Source organism: Homo sapiens, chromosome 8 (genome assembly GCF_000001405.40).
Source record: "Homo sapiens chromosome 8, GRCh38.p14 Primary Assembly".
NCBI lineage: Eukaryota > Metazoa > Chordata > Mammalia > Primates > Hominidae > Homo > Homo sapiens.
Window position 1 is genome coordinate 70,290,073 of NC_000008.11, and position 16,436 is coordinate 70,306,508.

The 16,436-nt window shown below is 36.9% G+C and overlaps 1 protein-coding gene across 41 annotated transcripts in view, besides 1 other annotated feature; it reads right to left on the reverse strand.

The window, feature by feature from the left end:
- The window catches only part of NCOA2 (nuclear receptor coactivator 2), a 346,665-nt gene that overhangs the window by 180,291 nt on the left and 149,938 nt on the right, over positions 1-16,436 (reverse strand). For 27 of the 41 annotated variants that reach the window (XM_047421240.1, XM_047421258.1, XM_047421256.1 and 24 more), the window contains exon 2: positions 6,672-6,728. The gene's annotated coding sequence lies outside the window, so the exon portion shown is untranslated. Of the gene's footprint in view, positions 1-5,118; positions 5,184-6,671; positions 6,729-8,729; positions 8,980-16,436 lie in introns of those variants that run through there. The other 14 variants (XM_047421262.1, XM_047421247.1, XM_047421234.1 and 11 more) reach the window with 2 other exon arrangements.
- Positions 1,420-2,160: an enhancer, noted in NCBI's record as "H3K4me1 hESC enhancer chr8:71203727-71204467 (GRCh37/hg19 assembly coordinates)". NCBI's record gives its function as "activates a minimal SCP1, AML or CMV promoter by ChIP-STARR-seq in primed H9 embryonic stem cells {active_cell/tissue: H9 hESC(primed)}" and the evidence as "EXISTENCE:reporter gene assay evidence [ECO:0000049][PMID:30033119]".

A 16,436-nucleotide genomic window follows, 5' to 3' on the forward strand; every position in this document is an offset into this window, starting at 1 on the left:
TAGGCCTCAGCTAAATGCTACCCCTACGTATACTTCTTACTTTCTCTTTAATCTTTGTAGATGAGAAGGCAAAATATAATGGTGCCTAGGCCAAAAAATACATTTCCATTGATTTTTTTTTTTTTTTTTTTTGAGATGGAGTCTCGCTCTGTTGCCCAGGCTAGAGTGCAGTGGCGCGATTTCTCGGCTCACTACCAGCTCCGCCTCCTGGGTTCACACCATTCTCCTGCCTCAGCCTCCCAAATAGCTGGGACTACAGGCGCCTGCCACCACACCCGGCTAATTTTTTGTATTTTTAGTAGACACGGGGTTTCACCATGTTAGCCAGGATGGTCTCGATCTCCTAACCTCGTGATCCGCCTGCCTCGGCCTCTCAAAGTGCTGGGATTACAGGTGTGAGCCAACGCGCCCGGCCTATTTCCATTGATTATAGACATCCATGAATCATTCATGAAATAGCAAACAAGGCTTAGACAACCTAATGCATGGAATTAAGATAAAAATCATAATTTGCAAAGCTTACTGTTAATTTCTCTGGTTTTCTCCCATTATACTGAGTCTCAAGCTAGCAATACAAGTCAAAATAAATAGAAATACCTATATCCTAATGCTAAAGAATCACAGTAAAATAAAAAAAACTTAATTGCATGGCTATGGATAATTTTATAAATGCTTAATTTAGACCCTTGTATCTAGATGTTATAAATGGTTCAAAATAACATGTATGAATTTCAGCTTAAAAAAAAAACAAAACTATAAGGTGTTTGATGGAAACAGCCTGACTTTACTTGCTATTTTATCTTTAAGGGGATTCTGGCAAAGTTAGCTGACTCAAATTCAGCACCTGCCTAGAAAATAACATACATCTGGCATTTGCCTTCCAAAGTGAAAGTGAACAGCCTAGCTAAAAATCCTACTAACTGACCCAAATCTAATGCCAAGTATTTCAAAAGTTACTGTGGTGGCATTTATGTGAAATTCTACTTGTCACAGACCTTCTCCCTGAAGCTAACAACTGTACCACCCAGACAAGTGGAATATTCAAGTTTGAATTGAACCCTAAGGACCAACAACAAAAACAACAAACAGATATGTATTTTATTAACAATCTATTAAACCACTTATCCCACTCCTATGCATAAATCTCTCCTGTTTTCTAGTACAGAAAGCATAGCTGAGAAATTATGGCCCACCCTAACTTTCTCAGAATATTCTGACACCAGTCCTACCTCCTCTAAACATGCTAACTCAAAAGATTTACACAAGATATGGACTGGTAATACTTTTCATTTTAATTACTTTCAAAGAATACCAGCTATGCCAACAGAGGTCACACTTAGAAATTTTCAATTTAAAAAAAGTTGCTCCCACAGTAAAGTGGCTCTAAGCTAAAATTCAATTCTCTTATACTCCAAGAAACAACATCCTTGTGCATTCTGAAAAAAAAATTAAATTACTGTCTAATTCTAAATACATGATTTCCAACATCATTCTACTTGTCTGTCCATATGAAGACAGCAATGCCATCATGCAGAATGAAGATTGCCTGGACTGTGATTTGTTCAACCTCACTAAGCAAGACACACCTACCTTAAGAGGTGCGTGTCTTCCTAAGAGCACACTCTGAGAGCTCTGTTAACACTAAGTAATAAACAAAACATTTACTAATGATAGCATTTTGTTGTTGTTGCTACTGCTTTAACCTCGATTCACATGGACAGATTAAGACTTTGAATAAGTTGGCCGGGCGGGCGCAGTGGCTCACGCCTGTAATCCCAGCACTTTGGGAGGCCGAGGCGGGCGGATCACAAGGTCAGTAGATTGAGACCATCCTGGCTAACACGGTGAAACCCCGTAGCCGGGTGCGGTGGCGGGCGCCTGTAGTCCCAGCTACTCGGGGGCTGAGGCAGGAGAATGGCATGAACCTGGGAGGCGGAGCTTGCAGTGAGCTGAGATCCACCCACTGCACTCCAGCCTGGGCAACAGAGCGAGACGCCGTCTCAAAAAAAAAAAAAAAGACTTTGAATAGGGAGACATATAATTCAGAAATCAGTGCCCTGTTTTTTGTTTGTTTGTTTTTGAGAGGAAGTCCTGCTCTGTCGCCAGGCTGGCGTGCAGTGGCCAGGTTGCAGTGCGGTGGCGTGATCTCGGCTCACTGCAACCTCCACCTCCTGGGTTCAAGCGATTCTCCCACCTCAGCCTCCCAAGTAGCTGGGACTACAGGCACACGCCACCATGCCCAGCTAATTTTTGTATTTTTAGTAGAGATGGGGTTTCACCATGTTGGCCAGGATGGTCTCGATCTCTTGACCTCGTGATCTGCCGCCTGGGAATCCCAAAGAGCTGGGATTACAGGTGTGAGCCACCGCACCCAGCCCTGAGGCAGGAGAATCGCTTAAATCCAGGAGGCAGAGGCTGCAGTGAGCTGTGATCTTGCCACTGCACTCCAGCCTGGGCAACAAAGACTCCATCTCAGGAAAAAAAAAAAAAAAAAGAATCAGAAAACCTAAACACAATGTAAAAATATCGAACAAGGAAACATGGAGTTAAACTTGCATGGATAGATAATCCTTTTTAATTTAATAATTTTTGGCAACCATTCTTTGTATTTCCTATAGCACTTAGCCTAGGCTAGGGATGGCCTAAGGGTAAAAGGAAGTCAGGAAGAGAGAAAGGAGAGTTAATGGTGCTGAATGATTTAGTTTAATGAGGAAAACTAAGCTAACCGGTTCACACTAATGTGTGCACATAAAAGGAAGAAAACAACAAGAAAAGAGTAAACTGCCTGTCAGTTTCCAACTGCTGGCTTTGTGTCAACAACACCCATCAGAAGATCATTTCAATGTGAGCCTACATCATCCTGAGTTCAGTAGTCCGTTCTGCGTATTAAGTGCAGAGGAGTCTACCCTGTGAGACCAGGATCGTGATTCTACTCTGAACAGTTAAATGACTGAGGGCATTTTGTCAACTTAAATTTTTTTTTTAATTCTACAGATGACAGTGCCTACCATGCTGTCATTTGAAGAAAATACCACAAAAATAGTGATATAAATAAATATGGGCAGATTTTGCCTAAAGCAAAAGATATATATTTCAGTATTCTCAATTTTAGTTTAGATTAATACTGATTTTCAGTAGATAGTGCCCAAAGCCTGATACCTGTACCTCAAATCAAAGTGCCCATATCTTCATGGATACATATACATCCAGTTAAATCAGATATCTAATCACAAATCTTCTCACATCTATGAACAAAGGAGGGATTAAAAACTCCAACAAATATTCATTTGAAATGTATTTCAACCATGTCATATCCAATATGGTCAAAGTTTCTCTTAGGCCTTGATATGCTTAATTTTTAGTATATAGCACTTAGTACACAACAACAAAGTAAACTGGTACTACATGAAGTATATATTGTGTTTTATTGTACAGTGGAGAACTTCTCCCCCATGTTGGTATTTAAGAGTTGGGCTGTACTTAGCATGTGTGAACAATTCACCAACCTACCTTCACCCTATCCTCCCACCCAAATCTTCCAACACAGAGAAAACTTATAAATAAATCCAAGGTCTATATAAATCCACAGTGAGTTCAACTTTCTGTAGTGAAAGGAAAATTACATTTCAAAGCTATATTGCCAAATAGATTTATATAACTCTTGCTCCTGTTTTGATTATCAATGCCAAGTAAATTTTATTGGCTAACTTTAAAAATGCTTAAAATGTGAGACTAGAACGGAAATACTGACCTAGCTGTACATTAAAAATCATAGTTCAGTCTGTTCAATAAGTTTTGTCTTTTTAACTCAAACTACAGAATTCCATTTTTCATATACTCAAATCTGGAATTTGCATTTACACTCATAGATACAACTCTTTTGGAAAGTCTAAGGAAGTATATAAATAATAATATTTTCAAATCAAAATCTTAAGGTATATTCAACAAAGTTGTCCTTCAGAACATTTTGTCCACTTTATAAATTTAAGACCCAAAATATAATAATTATATTTTTACATAGTATGTCCTACTCAGCTTTGAAAATAAACTAAGTAAGAGAAGCTAAAGTTCTATCTGAACCAACTCCTGATATACTGCAAGGCTATATACTAAACTTCATTTCTTCAATAGTTAAAGTATTTTTCCCAGAGATACAAACTATCAAATTTTTCAAGATAAAGGTTCTAAGTAATTCTATAGTCACTATATTTCAAACAATCTGTTCTTTGCAAGAAAAGTGATTTATCCAATGAACCACAGATGCCACTTACAATCTAAAATTTCTAATATTGCATGAGAGAAAGAATGCTGATTCATATTAATAGCATATCATGTTTACAACAGAAAAAGGAATTAGAATAGCTGTCCCCCATGCCCCTACCCATAATCTGTGAGTATAAAATCAAAGTCTCAGAGTAGAACTTAAATAGTTTAGGTAATCATTACATTTCAAATGAGTCGTCATGTTTCAGTTTGGAATAACAATTACAAGTTAAGGTCTCCTAATGAAATATAAGTGAAATAATGTTTGGCTTTTAAATTAATTTTGAAGTCTTCAAATATGAATATGATTTTCATGTACTACAATTGTTGTCACAAATATTCTTGTACTAGGGGTATTTAGGCAGAAAATGGAGCTCAGTGGTTAAGGTCAAGGTCTTTGGAGTGGCAAACTGCCTCTTACTTGATATGACCTTGGAAAAGTCATTTAACCTCTCTGAGCTTCAACTTCCTTATCTGTTATTTTGAAGACAACCAAAAGGCACTTACATAATGCCTAGCATACAGTAAAAGAGCAATAAGTAATAGTTGTTATTAGTATTATCAGTAGAATCTCTGCAAATTGCACTTGTAAAATAGATGTGAATCAGAAACAGCTGTATAATCCCTAAAATTTTACTTTCAATAATTCTTAAAGGTCAGACTTAATTCCTTCTATAAATGAAAAATCCTGATGGCAGAAAGAGAAGCAAATGTCTGAAAAAGGTAAGAAAGAACAAAAAAATAAAACGAGACAAGAACCCAATAACAACTGACATCCTGAAGCACAAAGAAAACTGTCATGGACACAAGGAAAGGAAATAAGTAGTCAGCTTATAAAATTATGCCTACCGCTACCTTTGATAATGAGTTCAAACACATCAATATATAGGGCAGGAAAATGACCAAAACATTTCCCCAACCTAGAAACAAAAAACGAAATAAGTTACATTTTGTATCAAGTGGCAGGTAGTGGGAAAATATTAATTTATTTGGTTTGCAGCGATATAAACTGGACAACTTTCAAATCTACTTTGCTCTCTATAAATATACCACAAAACACATCTAATATGTTAATATGATCCAGTATGGAGACGAGAAGCTGCCACACTTCCTTCAGGTTTGTTCTTTACTTGATTGTAAGAACCTTCTGGGACAGTGACAAAATAAATGTGGAATTGGAAGAGTTATCTTCTTAATTCTACCCTGATTAAGCATATTTGGATACACAAAATATCTAATACAACTAATTTTTCATAACATTTAAGAGCTATATACCTTAAGTTCACGGTATAAATTAATTTCATATCTAGAAATAAGCTTAAGAGTCTGGGCGCAGTGGCTCACGTCTGTAATCCAAGCACTTTGGGAGGCCGAGGCAGGCAGATCACTTGAGGTCAGGAGCTCAAGACCAGCCTGGCCAATATGGTGAAACCCCGTCTCTATTAAAAATACAAAAAAAATTAGTGGTGCATGCTGGTGGACACCTGTAATCCCAGCTACTCATGAGGCTGAGGCAGGAGAATCGCTTGAACCCATGAGGCGGAGGTTGCAGTGAGCCAAGATTGCACCACTGCACTCCAGACTGGGTGAAAGAGCGAGATTCCATCTCAAAAACAAAAAATGAAATAAGCTTAATAAACTATTTCTATTTGTATTTACAAAGTTCAGTGTCTCTGAATATAAATATATTCTTAATGTTTATTACCCGATAATTACTTTAACAAACGTTTATTTAGTCTTTACTGTATACCAGGCACCATCCTAAGTGTTAGGGATGCTGTTTTGAACAAGATAGAAATGGTCCCGATGTTCATGAAGCTAGCAGGGAAAGTTGTAAAGAGTAAGTAAAAATATATCACATGATCATAAATATTGTGATAAAAATCAATTTCAGCTGTGTGATACGGAGTGCTTGAGAAGCTATTTTACACAGGTTGGACAAGAAAGGTTGGCTCATTGCATTTTATAACATCTACCCCTGTAAGTCTGAGATTTGCTGCTAAAATCTGTAGTAACTTTTCTTTTCTCCTCTTTTATGCTAGTTTGCTAAGAAATGAGAAATACCACCACTCAAATTTTTACATATAAAAATAAATATAATAAACATTTTGTCAGGCTATGAAATTAGAATAAACTGTAATCAACTCATCCAATGGGTATAATGTAAACTCATCCCAAATAGATATAGTAACCACTGATAAACAGATATGAGCATTTTACCTTTAAATGTTATTTCCAATACATTTGTAAGGAACTTTCATAATAAAAATGAAATATAGACAAATATACAGTTTATTGTTTTTATTTAAAATCATCTTATTTACATATTTTCCTAAACTATATAAAGAATTTTAAAATTTTAATTAAATATCAAAGTATCCAATATGAAGAATTCAACGTTAACTCACCTGTGCCTGTAAACAGTGCAGAAGATCTATAAGTGTGTAGCCAAATCCAAGAGAAATCTGTAATATAAACAAACAAATAAACGTGAATAAAATCTGCAGAATCCTAAGATTCCTTAGAGCAGATGTGATTTTTATAACCGATTTTCAAAGTAATACTTGTTAATTGCCATCAATACACAAGTAATATGCATTAATAACATCTCTTATTAAATCGCATGGTAAATCAAGAAGTAGACTTGCTGCATTACTTTTATTTGTACAAGGTAATGTAAAATATATAAGGCTGCATTTCATTGTGAATTATGAAGTGCCTACAAATTCTGAGTGGCCGTCCTTATACTTTAACTGCTTGTCTAACCACCAGCCTTCCCTATGAGACAAAAAGCTGAGTAAAAGCAGGAGGCCCTAGTGACCTACTCCCACACTGCATTCCTAGGGCTGTGCCCAGCACATTGTAACAGGCAGAAAATGTGTGCTGAATAAATAAAGAAAGTTCCCATGCTAATCTTAATTTACCATGATTTACAGTTTACCTATATGGAACCAAAAGGCCTGAATGACTAAATAATTTCTTATCTCAAGAATTATCTTTTATTTTCCCCCCTTCAGAGACAAAATTTCGTTCTGCTACCCAGGCTGGAATGCAGTGGCACTATCACAGCTCACTGCAACCTCAAACTCGTAGGCTCAGGTGATCCTCCCGCCCCAGCCTCCCAAGTAGCCAGGACTACAGGCATGCGCCACCACACCCAGCTAATCTTTTATTTTTTGTAGTGGTAGGGTCTTGCTAAGTTGCCTGGGCTGGTCTCGAACTCCTAGCCTCAAGTGACCTTCCTGCCTTGGCCTTCCAAAATGCCAGGATTACAGGTGTGAACCACCATGCCCAGCCAAGGACAGCCTTTATGGCAGTAAAAATGATGTTATAATAACCAAGATAATTTGCAAGAGAAAAGGTGAATAAGAAAAGGAAGAACTGAATATTTTCAATAATGAGGGCAACTGTTTGCAATGTTTCTTCAGAGTCTGTGTCTTTGTGAACAAAGTGCTTCGCTGTAAATGAGCCTGCAGCTTTTCGTCTGATCCTTCCACTGCACCAATTAAGTTTGTTCCCAAGAAACACAATGAGGAATATGAAAACAAGAAGTATGTGCTTACGGCATTTTATGTATATTAATATTTACTGCTTTTGTATATTTTATGGACTCAAGAAAAGTGGCTTGATTGCTACTAGTAACGATACTGAAAATGTATCTCTTTTTAAGAATAATTTTTAAAAAACATTAAACACTACTAGATTTAATCAGCTCCAAGGAATGTTTTTATAACTAAGCTACTAGATTTTTCTTCCTTCAAATGACATCCATCAGTAAGAATTTACAATTTGGATTATCAAAACTTAAAACATTACTAATTCCTTTAAGAGCCCTTTACTCGTTAAAACAGTAAATAGAATCCAATAGCACAAACAAGTTAACATCAATTTAATATCAAAATTACTATTTTTCTTGGACACTAGAAACATCTGATTTCATAATCTAAAAGGTCTACAGGGGAGAGAAACAGAAAAAGATGGCATTTTGATTTTTACCAAGACCTGGCCAGTCTTGAACTCATCATATATAATGAAATGCAGCTAGTGTATTAGTCAGAGATACTTCATGAAAAACAAACAAAAAGAATCTATATGCAAATAAGAAGTTATCACAGTAAATAAAATGAATGGATTCCACTCAAGTGGCAGTCAGTGAATAGTGTGCAATAAACTTAAGTAATAGGAGTCATCAACTCTTTCTAACACTACTGGGATAAATGTATTCATTATGCTGGCCTACTTAAGCCCGTTATAATTCTATACCAACAACTAATTTGCTCAAGGACATCATATTATGCAACAATCAGGAGCTGAAACTTGTGATATTAGTAGGAATTATATTAAATGATTACTGTTGGCTCTATACTATTCAGTAAGCTTTTATTAATAAGCTACCATAACATGAGGCAAAAGTGTCAATGCACCCATGCTAAAGAAAGATGTTAGCCGGGCGCGGTGGTTCACACCTGTAATCCCAGCACTCTGGGAGGCTGAGGCGGGTGGATCATGAAGTCAGGAGATCAAGACCATCCCGGCTAACACGGTGAAACCCCGTCTCTACTAAAATACTAAAAAATTAGCCGGCCGTGGTGGCAGGCGCCTGTAGTTCCAGCTACTCGGAGGCTGAGGCAGGAGAATGGCGTGAACCCAGGAGGCAGAGCTTGCAGTGAGCCGAGATCGCGCCACTATACTCCAGCCTGGGCGACAGAGGGAGACTCCAACTCAAAAAACAAACAAACAAACAAACAAAAAAAACCAGAAAGATGTTTAGGAGATATAAAGATACTAAAATTTCCAAACATCTAGATACCTTGGTGTAACATTTTAAACAAAAAGAATAAAATACTTCCATAAAAACAGAATTACAAACTTTTTTATAAGTTACTAAGAGAAACTAGTAGTCATTTAAAGCAAAAGTGGAGGTAATAAAAGCTCTATAATAAAGAAGCATCTCGTTACTGCTCTGTCCCGAGAGTTTTCACAAAGCCCCTCTAAGAATGTGTTTCAAGGGAAGGAGTAGGGATAATTTTGGGGATATCTGCAAAATAATTATCTGATAAAGGACACATATCTAGAATATATTATATAAGGAGCTAAATTATTTGATAAAGGGCATGTATCTAGAATATATAAAGATCTCTTACAACTTAATAATAGGACAAATAATTCAATTATTTTTAAATGGGCAACATATTCTGCAACTCACCATGAGATATACAATAAGGAAAAGTACATGAAAAAATACTCAACATCATTAGTTATTAGGAAAATGGAAATTGAAACCACAATGAAATATTCTACACAACCAGTAAAATTATCTGAAGTGTTGACAAGGATATGAAGAAATCAGAACCCCTTTTAATCCACTGCTGGTAGAAAATGCAATAGTACAGTCATTTGGGAAAACAGTTTGGAAGTTTCTCACTACACAATGCAATTTTATCCCTGATGTTTTCATTTCTCTTGGGGAAGAGATATCCATACAAAGAGCTGAATGGAAATGTTCACAGCAGTTATTGTCCACAATAGCCAAAAATTGTAAACAATACAAATGTTTATCAAGGGATTTTCTTAAATGCTGTACATCCATACAGTGGAATACCACTCAATAAAGGGGAATGAATTATCAATATGTGAACAACACAGATGAACCTCAAAAACATTATGCTAAATGAAAGAAGACTGACACAAATACAACACACACTGTATTGTATGATTCCATTTATTTGAAATTTCTAGAAAAAGTAAAACTATAAAGACAGAAAACAGGCTGATGGTTTCCAGTGTCAGGATATGGAAATGGAAACTGACTAAAAATGGACACAAGATAACTTTGTGGGGTGATAGAATTGTTCTAAAACTGAATTGTGTCCTAAAGAAGATGAATAACAGACACAAGATATATGACTGCAAAAATGTACTGAAACTCCTGCTACTTAAAATGGGTGCATTTTATGGTCTGCAAATTATACTTAAATTTTTAAAATGCAAAAAAAAATTTTAATGTTAAAAAATATTTTAGTGATTTTTCACAAATGCACCTGTGTGTCCTTGCTCTTTCTTGTGTGATAGCTACAGTTTCCGCGTGAGTAGGGATCTAAGGGTAAAGGTAGTTCTAGCTGCATATGGTGGTGTGAACACCTGCCAAGTAGAGCATCAACTAGCAGGTGGAGTAACACCTCACGAGTCTGAGGCAAAAAGCAGTCAGGACTGAATCTACACCACACATAAATAAGACAGCTGGCAGCATTAGAACTGTGTAGGTTAATGGCAGGGCGTGAGAGAGAACTGAAGAAGATATGCTCAATATTTCATTTTATTTATTTTTTAAGTGAATGGATAGAAACAGACCCAGAGGAAGCAATGGAAACTGGGAAGAAAATGAAATGACAGCTGTAATACTGGCTAAAAGAACATTTTAATTTATAACTACTATAATAAGAGATGTGCCATACTTTTTTTGGCTTAACAACAATGTAACAATAGCATCAATAGCATTTATTGAATGCTTATTCTGTGAGAGCACTGAGTAGAGAACTTTTTGTGTGTTACCTAATTTAACCTTCATAACAATCCTATGAGGGTAGGCCCTGCTACTATCATGTCCACCTTATAGATACAGAAACCTAACTGGGGAGTGAAGAGCTCTCTCTAAAGCCAGAGAGCTGATGAACTAGCAAAAGTCTGGGTTCTAACCCACAAGAGTCTGACTCTGGAGTTCATACATGATCTTACCCAGTAGGCTGTTACAGAAGGTCACTGTTTTGATAATGCTATTTTTGCCAACTTGATTTGAAAAAGCAAATGGCAGAAATGTGACCAACCTGAAAACTGCCTTCTTGAGGTTTTTGGTATAGTACTAACAAGACCAGCAAAAGGTATTCCCTATATCTTGCACCTTTGGCAGACACTATTATTAAATCTTGGCATTATTATTTTCTCAGCCCAAATGTAGGCCTCACAATTTTCTCAAAGCTGCTACCAATCAAAGGATGCAATCACTAATAGAGCTGGATGTAAATAAAGATATGTCTGTTGCAGGGCATGGTGGCTCCCGCCTGTACTCCCAACACTTTGGGAGGCTTGAGCAGGCATATCACTTGAGCCCAGGAGTTCGAAACCAGCTTGGGGCAACAAGGTAAAACCCCGTCTCCAAAAAATACAAAAAAATTAGCTAGGCATGGTGGCGCATGTCTGTAGTCTCAGATACTCATGAGGCTGGGATGGGAGGATCACTTGAGCCTACGGATGTCAAGGCTGCAGTGAGTCGTGATCACGCCACTGCATTCCAGCCTAGGTGACAGAGTGAGACCCTTTCTCAAAAAAAAAAAAAAAAAAAAAAAAAGAAAGATATGTTTGTCAACTCAAAACAACCAAGTCAATTTTTTCATGGACAACTGAAAACATGGAACAAACAGGCTGTTGGAAAGAGATGACTAAACAAAAGGGCAGCCCAACAACTATCACACTTCATGTTTCAGGCCAGCCAGCACCACCTTAATCAAGCCAGCCAGACAGACTGGCAGGAAAAAAGAGAACGCACAGGGAACAGAAGAAAAAGCTAAGGAAGAACTGCTCAAATTACTTAAGATTTTTCAATAGTTCCAGCCAAGCACATGTGAATTTATACCCATAGTGTACACTCATAATATATGATTAATACAAAATTTATTTTTCCCTTTTTTTTGCTTAAAAGCACAAACTCTCAAACACAAAAAACACCTTTAAGTCACCACAGGATATAACCCCAAGAAGAAAGTCATACTTTCACGACTTACCTTTGAAAACTATTTCAGATTATTGAACATGATATTGTTATTATACAAATATATTACATATATTTGTAATGCAAATGTGTCCTAATATATAGCCTTCATGTGAATTTTAATAAAATAGTAAAATTCCAAAGTTTCACTGCAGAAGACTTAATAATATAAAGAATGAGGACTAGACATGCAAAGTAAAATTGTTTCCCAATAAGTTTGATGGTGCTAATAAGCATCTAGACCTCAGAAGAATAATTTATAAATTGACTGATTAACTTCTATATATACTGCAGACAAGCTCATGATTTCTTTCTCTGTTTAAAAGGCTATACCTCCACTGCAGACAATAACTCTTAACTAATGAAAATGTTTAAAGGTAATTTTCATTCTCCAAAGTCCTCTGTAAGGTCAACAGAATCATGGCAAAACTCCCTTAAAATAACATTTAGCCCTGATAACTTACAGGTAAACATTAACTAACCTCCTACTTATTCTTTCCAACTACTCATTTTGCCTATTAAGGTATACAAATTAATACAGATAAATTTTTAGGTTAATAAAACCAGTGCTTAAAGTTAACTGAAAGTCAATCTTAAGATGTTCTTTTGTTATTTCAACTCAGTTTAATAAAAAGCTTCTGAAAGTACAATTAGTCATAAGTTAAACAAGTAGAGATTTAGATATACAATTTAATAAATTTTCATCCTCACTAAATGTAAAAAAAATTCATAGGCCATAATTATAACAGATATATAGAAAAAATATATCAGTTTAAAAATTCTTAAGCTACAGTTACATACACATCCACTATTTACATATATGACACAGTGAAAAATAATATATCCATCACACTCACGGATCTCATTATGCCCATTCCTTTCCATCTTGTCTCTTGCCTACCATGGTCAGAGGCAATACAATAAAGCAACTATAATAAAACAGCAACTCTGTAAAGACTAGTATTCTTGCCCAGAGATAGACCTAGACAACCAATTAATCTCATATCTGTAGTTGAATGTACAAAGTTCAAATTTGGAAAAGGATGAAAGATACTAAATTGGCAGCCCTTGACTTGAAAATAGCACTTGAATCCATAGAAATGGTTAAGATTTCTTTGGCAGAAAATATAAAGAAAGGAGGATGGGAGACTGGAACTAAGTCTTGAGGAACTTCTACAGGTAAAAACTATGTAGAAAAGGAATTGACCAAGGAAAATGAGAAGAAATTACCTAAAAGACAAGAGGAAGACCAGCAAAGACAAGTACTATAAAATTCCAGAGGAGATAATTCCAAGAAGGAGAGGGTGGTCCCCATTGTTCAATGACACTGGAAATTAAGATTTCTACTTGATGTGGCAATCAGAAATTACTGGTGCCCTTTATAAGGACAGTTTCAATGGAGAGATAAAGATATAAATCAGGCTAGAGAAGGTTGAAGTGTTGACATGTGAAAAGGAAATAAGAATTTGGATACGGCATGTACAAATGATTGCTGTCATTATCTTATACTAAAATTTATCTTCTCCTCTAGACTGTGAGCTGTTTGAGGGCAAGGATGAGGTTGCATCCATCTTTGAGTAAGACAATAACCTGCTGCTGGACTAGTAATTTTTAAACAACTGCAGAAGTCCTAGGGCTTTTATTAGGGTGCTTTGCCAAAAAACTGACAACAGTCTTTAACAGAATTACGGCGGAGGGGGAAGATAAGTTATTGGGCAGAAATTAATCTTTCTTAAACAGAGGTAAAAGGCTCAGGGATAGTTCCCCACCAAGACTAGAGCATGCCACCCTAACAACCAATCCACCCCCACCTCAAGTAAAAAGGCCCCAACACACTATAAGTAGAATTTTTATTGTTTTTCTCCCAATAGTGTGGATAATTTTTAGATTATAAACTCCCCTCAGAAATTCATCTTCTCCTTAGCTTTTTTCCCCTAATTACTGTTGCAACGACCATTCTGACACAACTGAGCCTAGAATCATTCCTTTTATATCCCTTGGGTACAATACAGACGAGCCTATAAAACACTTCAAGATTCTGTATAATATACAGTCATGCACTGCATAACAACATTTGTCAATGACACACTGCATATCCCATAGTGGTCCTGTAATATTATAATACCATATTTTTACTGCACTTTTTTATATTTAGACATGTTTATATACACAAATATTTCCCATTGTGTTACAACTGCCCACAGTATTCAGTATAGTAACATGCTACACAGGTTTGTAGCCTAGAAACAATGGGTTACACCAGATAGCCTAGGTATGTAGCAGGCTAGACCATCTAGGTTTGTGTAAGTACACTCTTGCCTAATGAGGCAATACTCAGAATGCATCTAAGTGATGCGTGACTATATGCATATTTTTTTTTTTTTTTAGACAAGTCTTGCACTGTCGCCCAGGCTGGAGTGCAGTGGCATGACCTCGGCTCACTGCAACACCTGCCTCCCAGGTTCAAGCAATTCTCTGCTTCAGCCTCCTGAGTGGCTAGGATTACAGGTGCCCGCCACCATGCCCGGCTAATTTTTTTGTTTTTTTGTTTTGTTTTGTTTTTTTGTTTTTTTTTTAGTAGAGACAGGGTTTCACCATCTTGGTCAGACTGGTCTTGAACTCCTGAGCTCATGATCCACCCATCTTGGCCTCCCAAGGTGCTGGGATTACAGGTGTGAGCCACCATGCCTGGCAACTATATGCATAATATCTTAAGACTATGGGTAAGAAAAGAAAGTGGACCAGAAGTAACTAGCTTTTTTTTTTTTTTTTTTGAGACAGGGTCTTGCTCTATTGCTCAGGCTGGAGTGCTGTGGTGCAACCACAGCTCACTGCAGCCTCGACCTCCTGGGCTCAGTTGATCTACCCATGTCGGCCTCCTGAGTAGCTAGGACTATATTAGGCATGCACCACCACACCTGGCTGATTTTCATATTTATTTATTCATTCTTTTTTTTTTTTTTTTTGTAGAGATGGGGTTTTGCTATGTCGCTCAGGCTGGACTTGGAACTCCTGGCCTCAAGTGATCTTCCCACCTAGGCCTCCCAAAGTGCTGGTTTTACAGGCGTGACCCACCACCCCAGCCAACATTAACATTATATATGTAACTACAAAGGGCAGCGGCAGTCTTTAACTTCCAACACCTAAAGTACCCTCAAAGACAGCCTCAGAGGAACCAGCACAAACTTGCCACCAAAGGCACCCTTCCCCAAATGATGGTCACTGTCAATTCTCATCTCCTACAGAGAGGTCAAATCTATCAACACAACATGACCGCATTAAGATATAATCATTATTTCAATACAATAAAGAGAACATTAATTTTTTAAAATGCACACAAAGCATGTACGAGGGCAAGAGAGGAGGTGTCTCCTTAAAAAGGAAGACAGTAAGGTAACACAATTTATCTAAAGTCAAAAAACTTAAAACGGACCCGGATGTCAAACCCAGGACTGCCCGAGCACAGGACCTGTATTTTTACTGCTCTGCCTGCCTGCTAGGCAGCACCGACCCACCAAAACAAAGGATAGCAAGCACCAAATGAACAGTATTTTAAACAGAAAAAAAATTGAAAACAGCTCACAAGTGTGTATAATAGGTATTCATAGCCATAATGTTTTAATCAAACAAAAATAAGTTTATTTTCTTTGACTCAAATTATAATTATGTATTATGCGATTAAGTATGTCAATATTTTACAGAGTTGTAGAAAGAATGTAGTATTCCAAAAGCTAGCACCAGACTAAGAGAAAAGCTTTGCAACTCACTGTGTAGGACAGTGAAGAACTTTACCTGTGGAGTAGTTAGTACCTAGCCACATTTTAATCAACTTTCTGTATTTTACTGAGTCATCCCATGGATCCAAATGTCACTCAGAAGAAATGTTATCAGAAAACAGATTTCATTAGAAATGTGGCCCTACTGTGTGAGACTATATAGAGTTTTTTGTCCTCCTAAAAAACTAAAAATGGGATTTTTCATTTTACTAGGTGCCTAGGTTCTAACAAAAACATTGAGGAATACTGGAGAAAACTGGATCCTATGGCAACAGTACCATTTCGGGAAAAAATTGAGATCTAGAGCAAACTTAGAAATCACGTTTCAACTACTGAGTTTCACAGATGGAAATCTGGGGCTCAAAGAGATTAGTACCTCTACTGATGACAGGACTTCTCCCAGTCCTCATGACTAACAGAGTTTCTATGAACCCAGGAACAAATATATCATTAAAACTTGGGCCTCACTATCCTATCTTAACCAATTGCTATTCAACCTCCACGTCACAGAAGGGCACTATGTACATGAAAAGGTGTGAAAGGGCCTTCTAACTTAGTTGTGAAGCTAGAATTTATTGATAAAATATCTAACATACAAAACATAAATAAAACTGGATAGATCTTGAGATGAG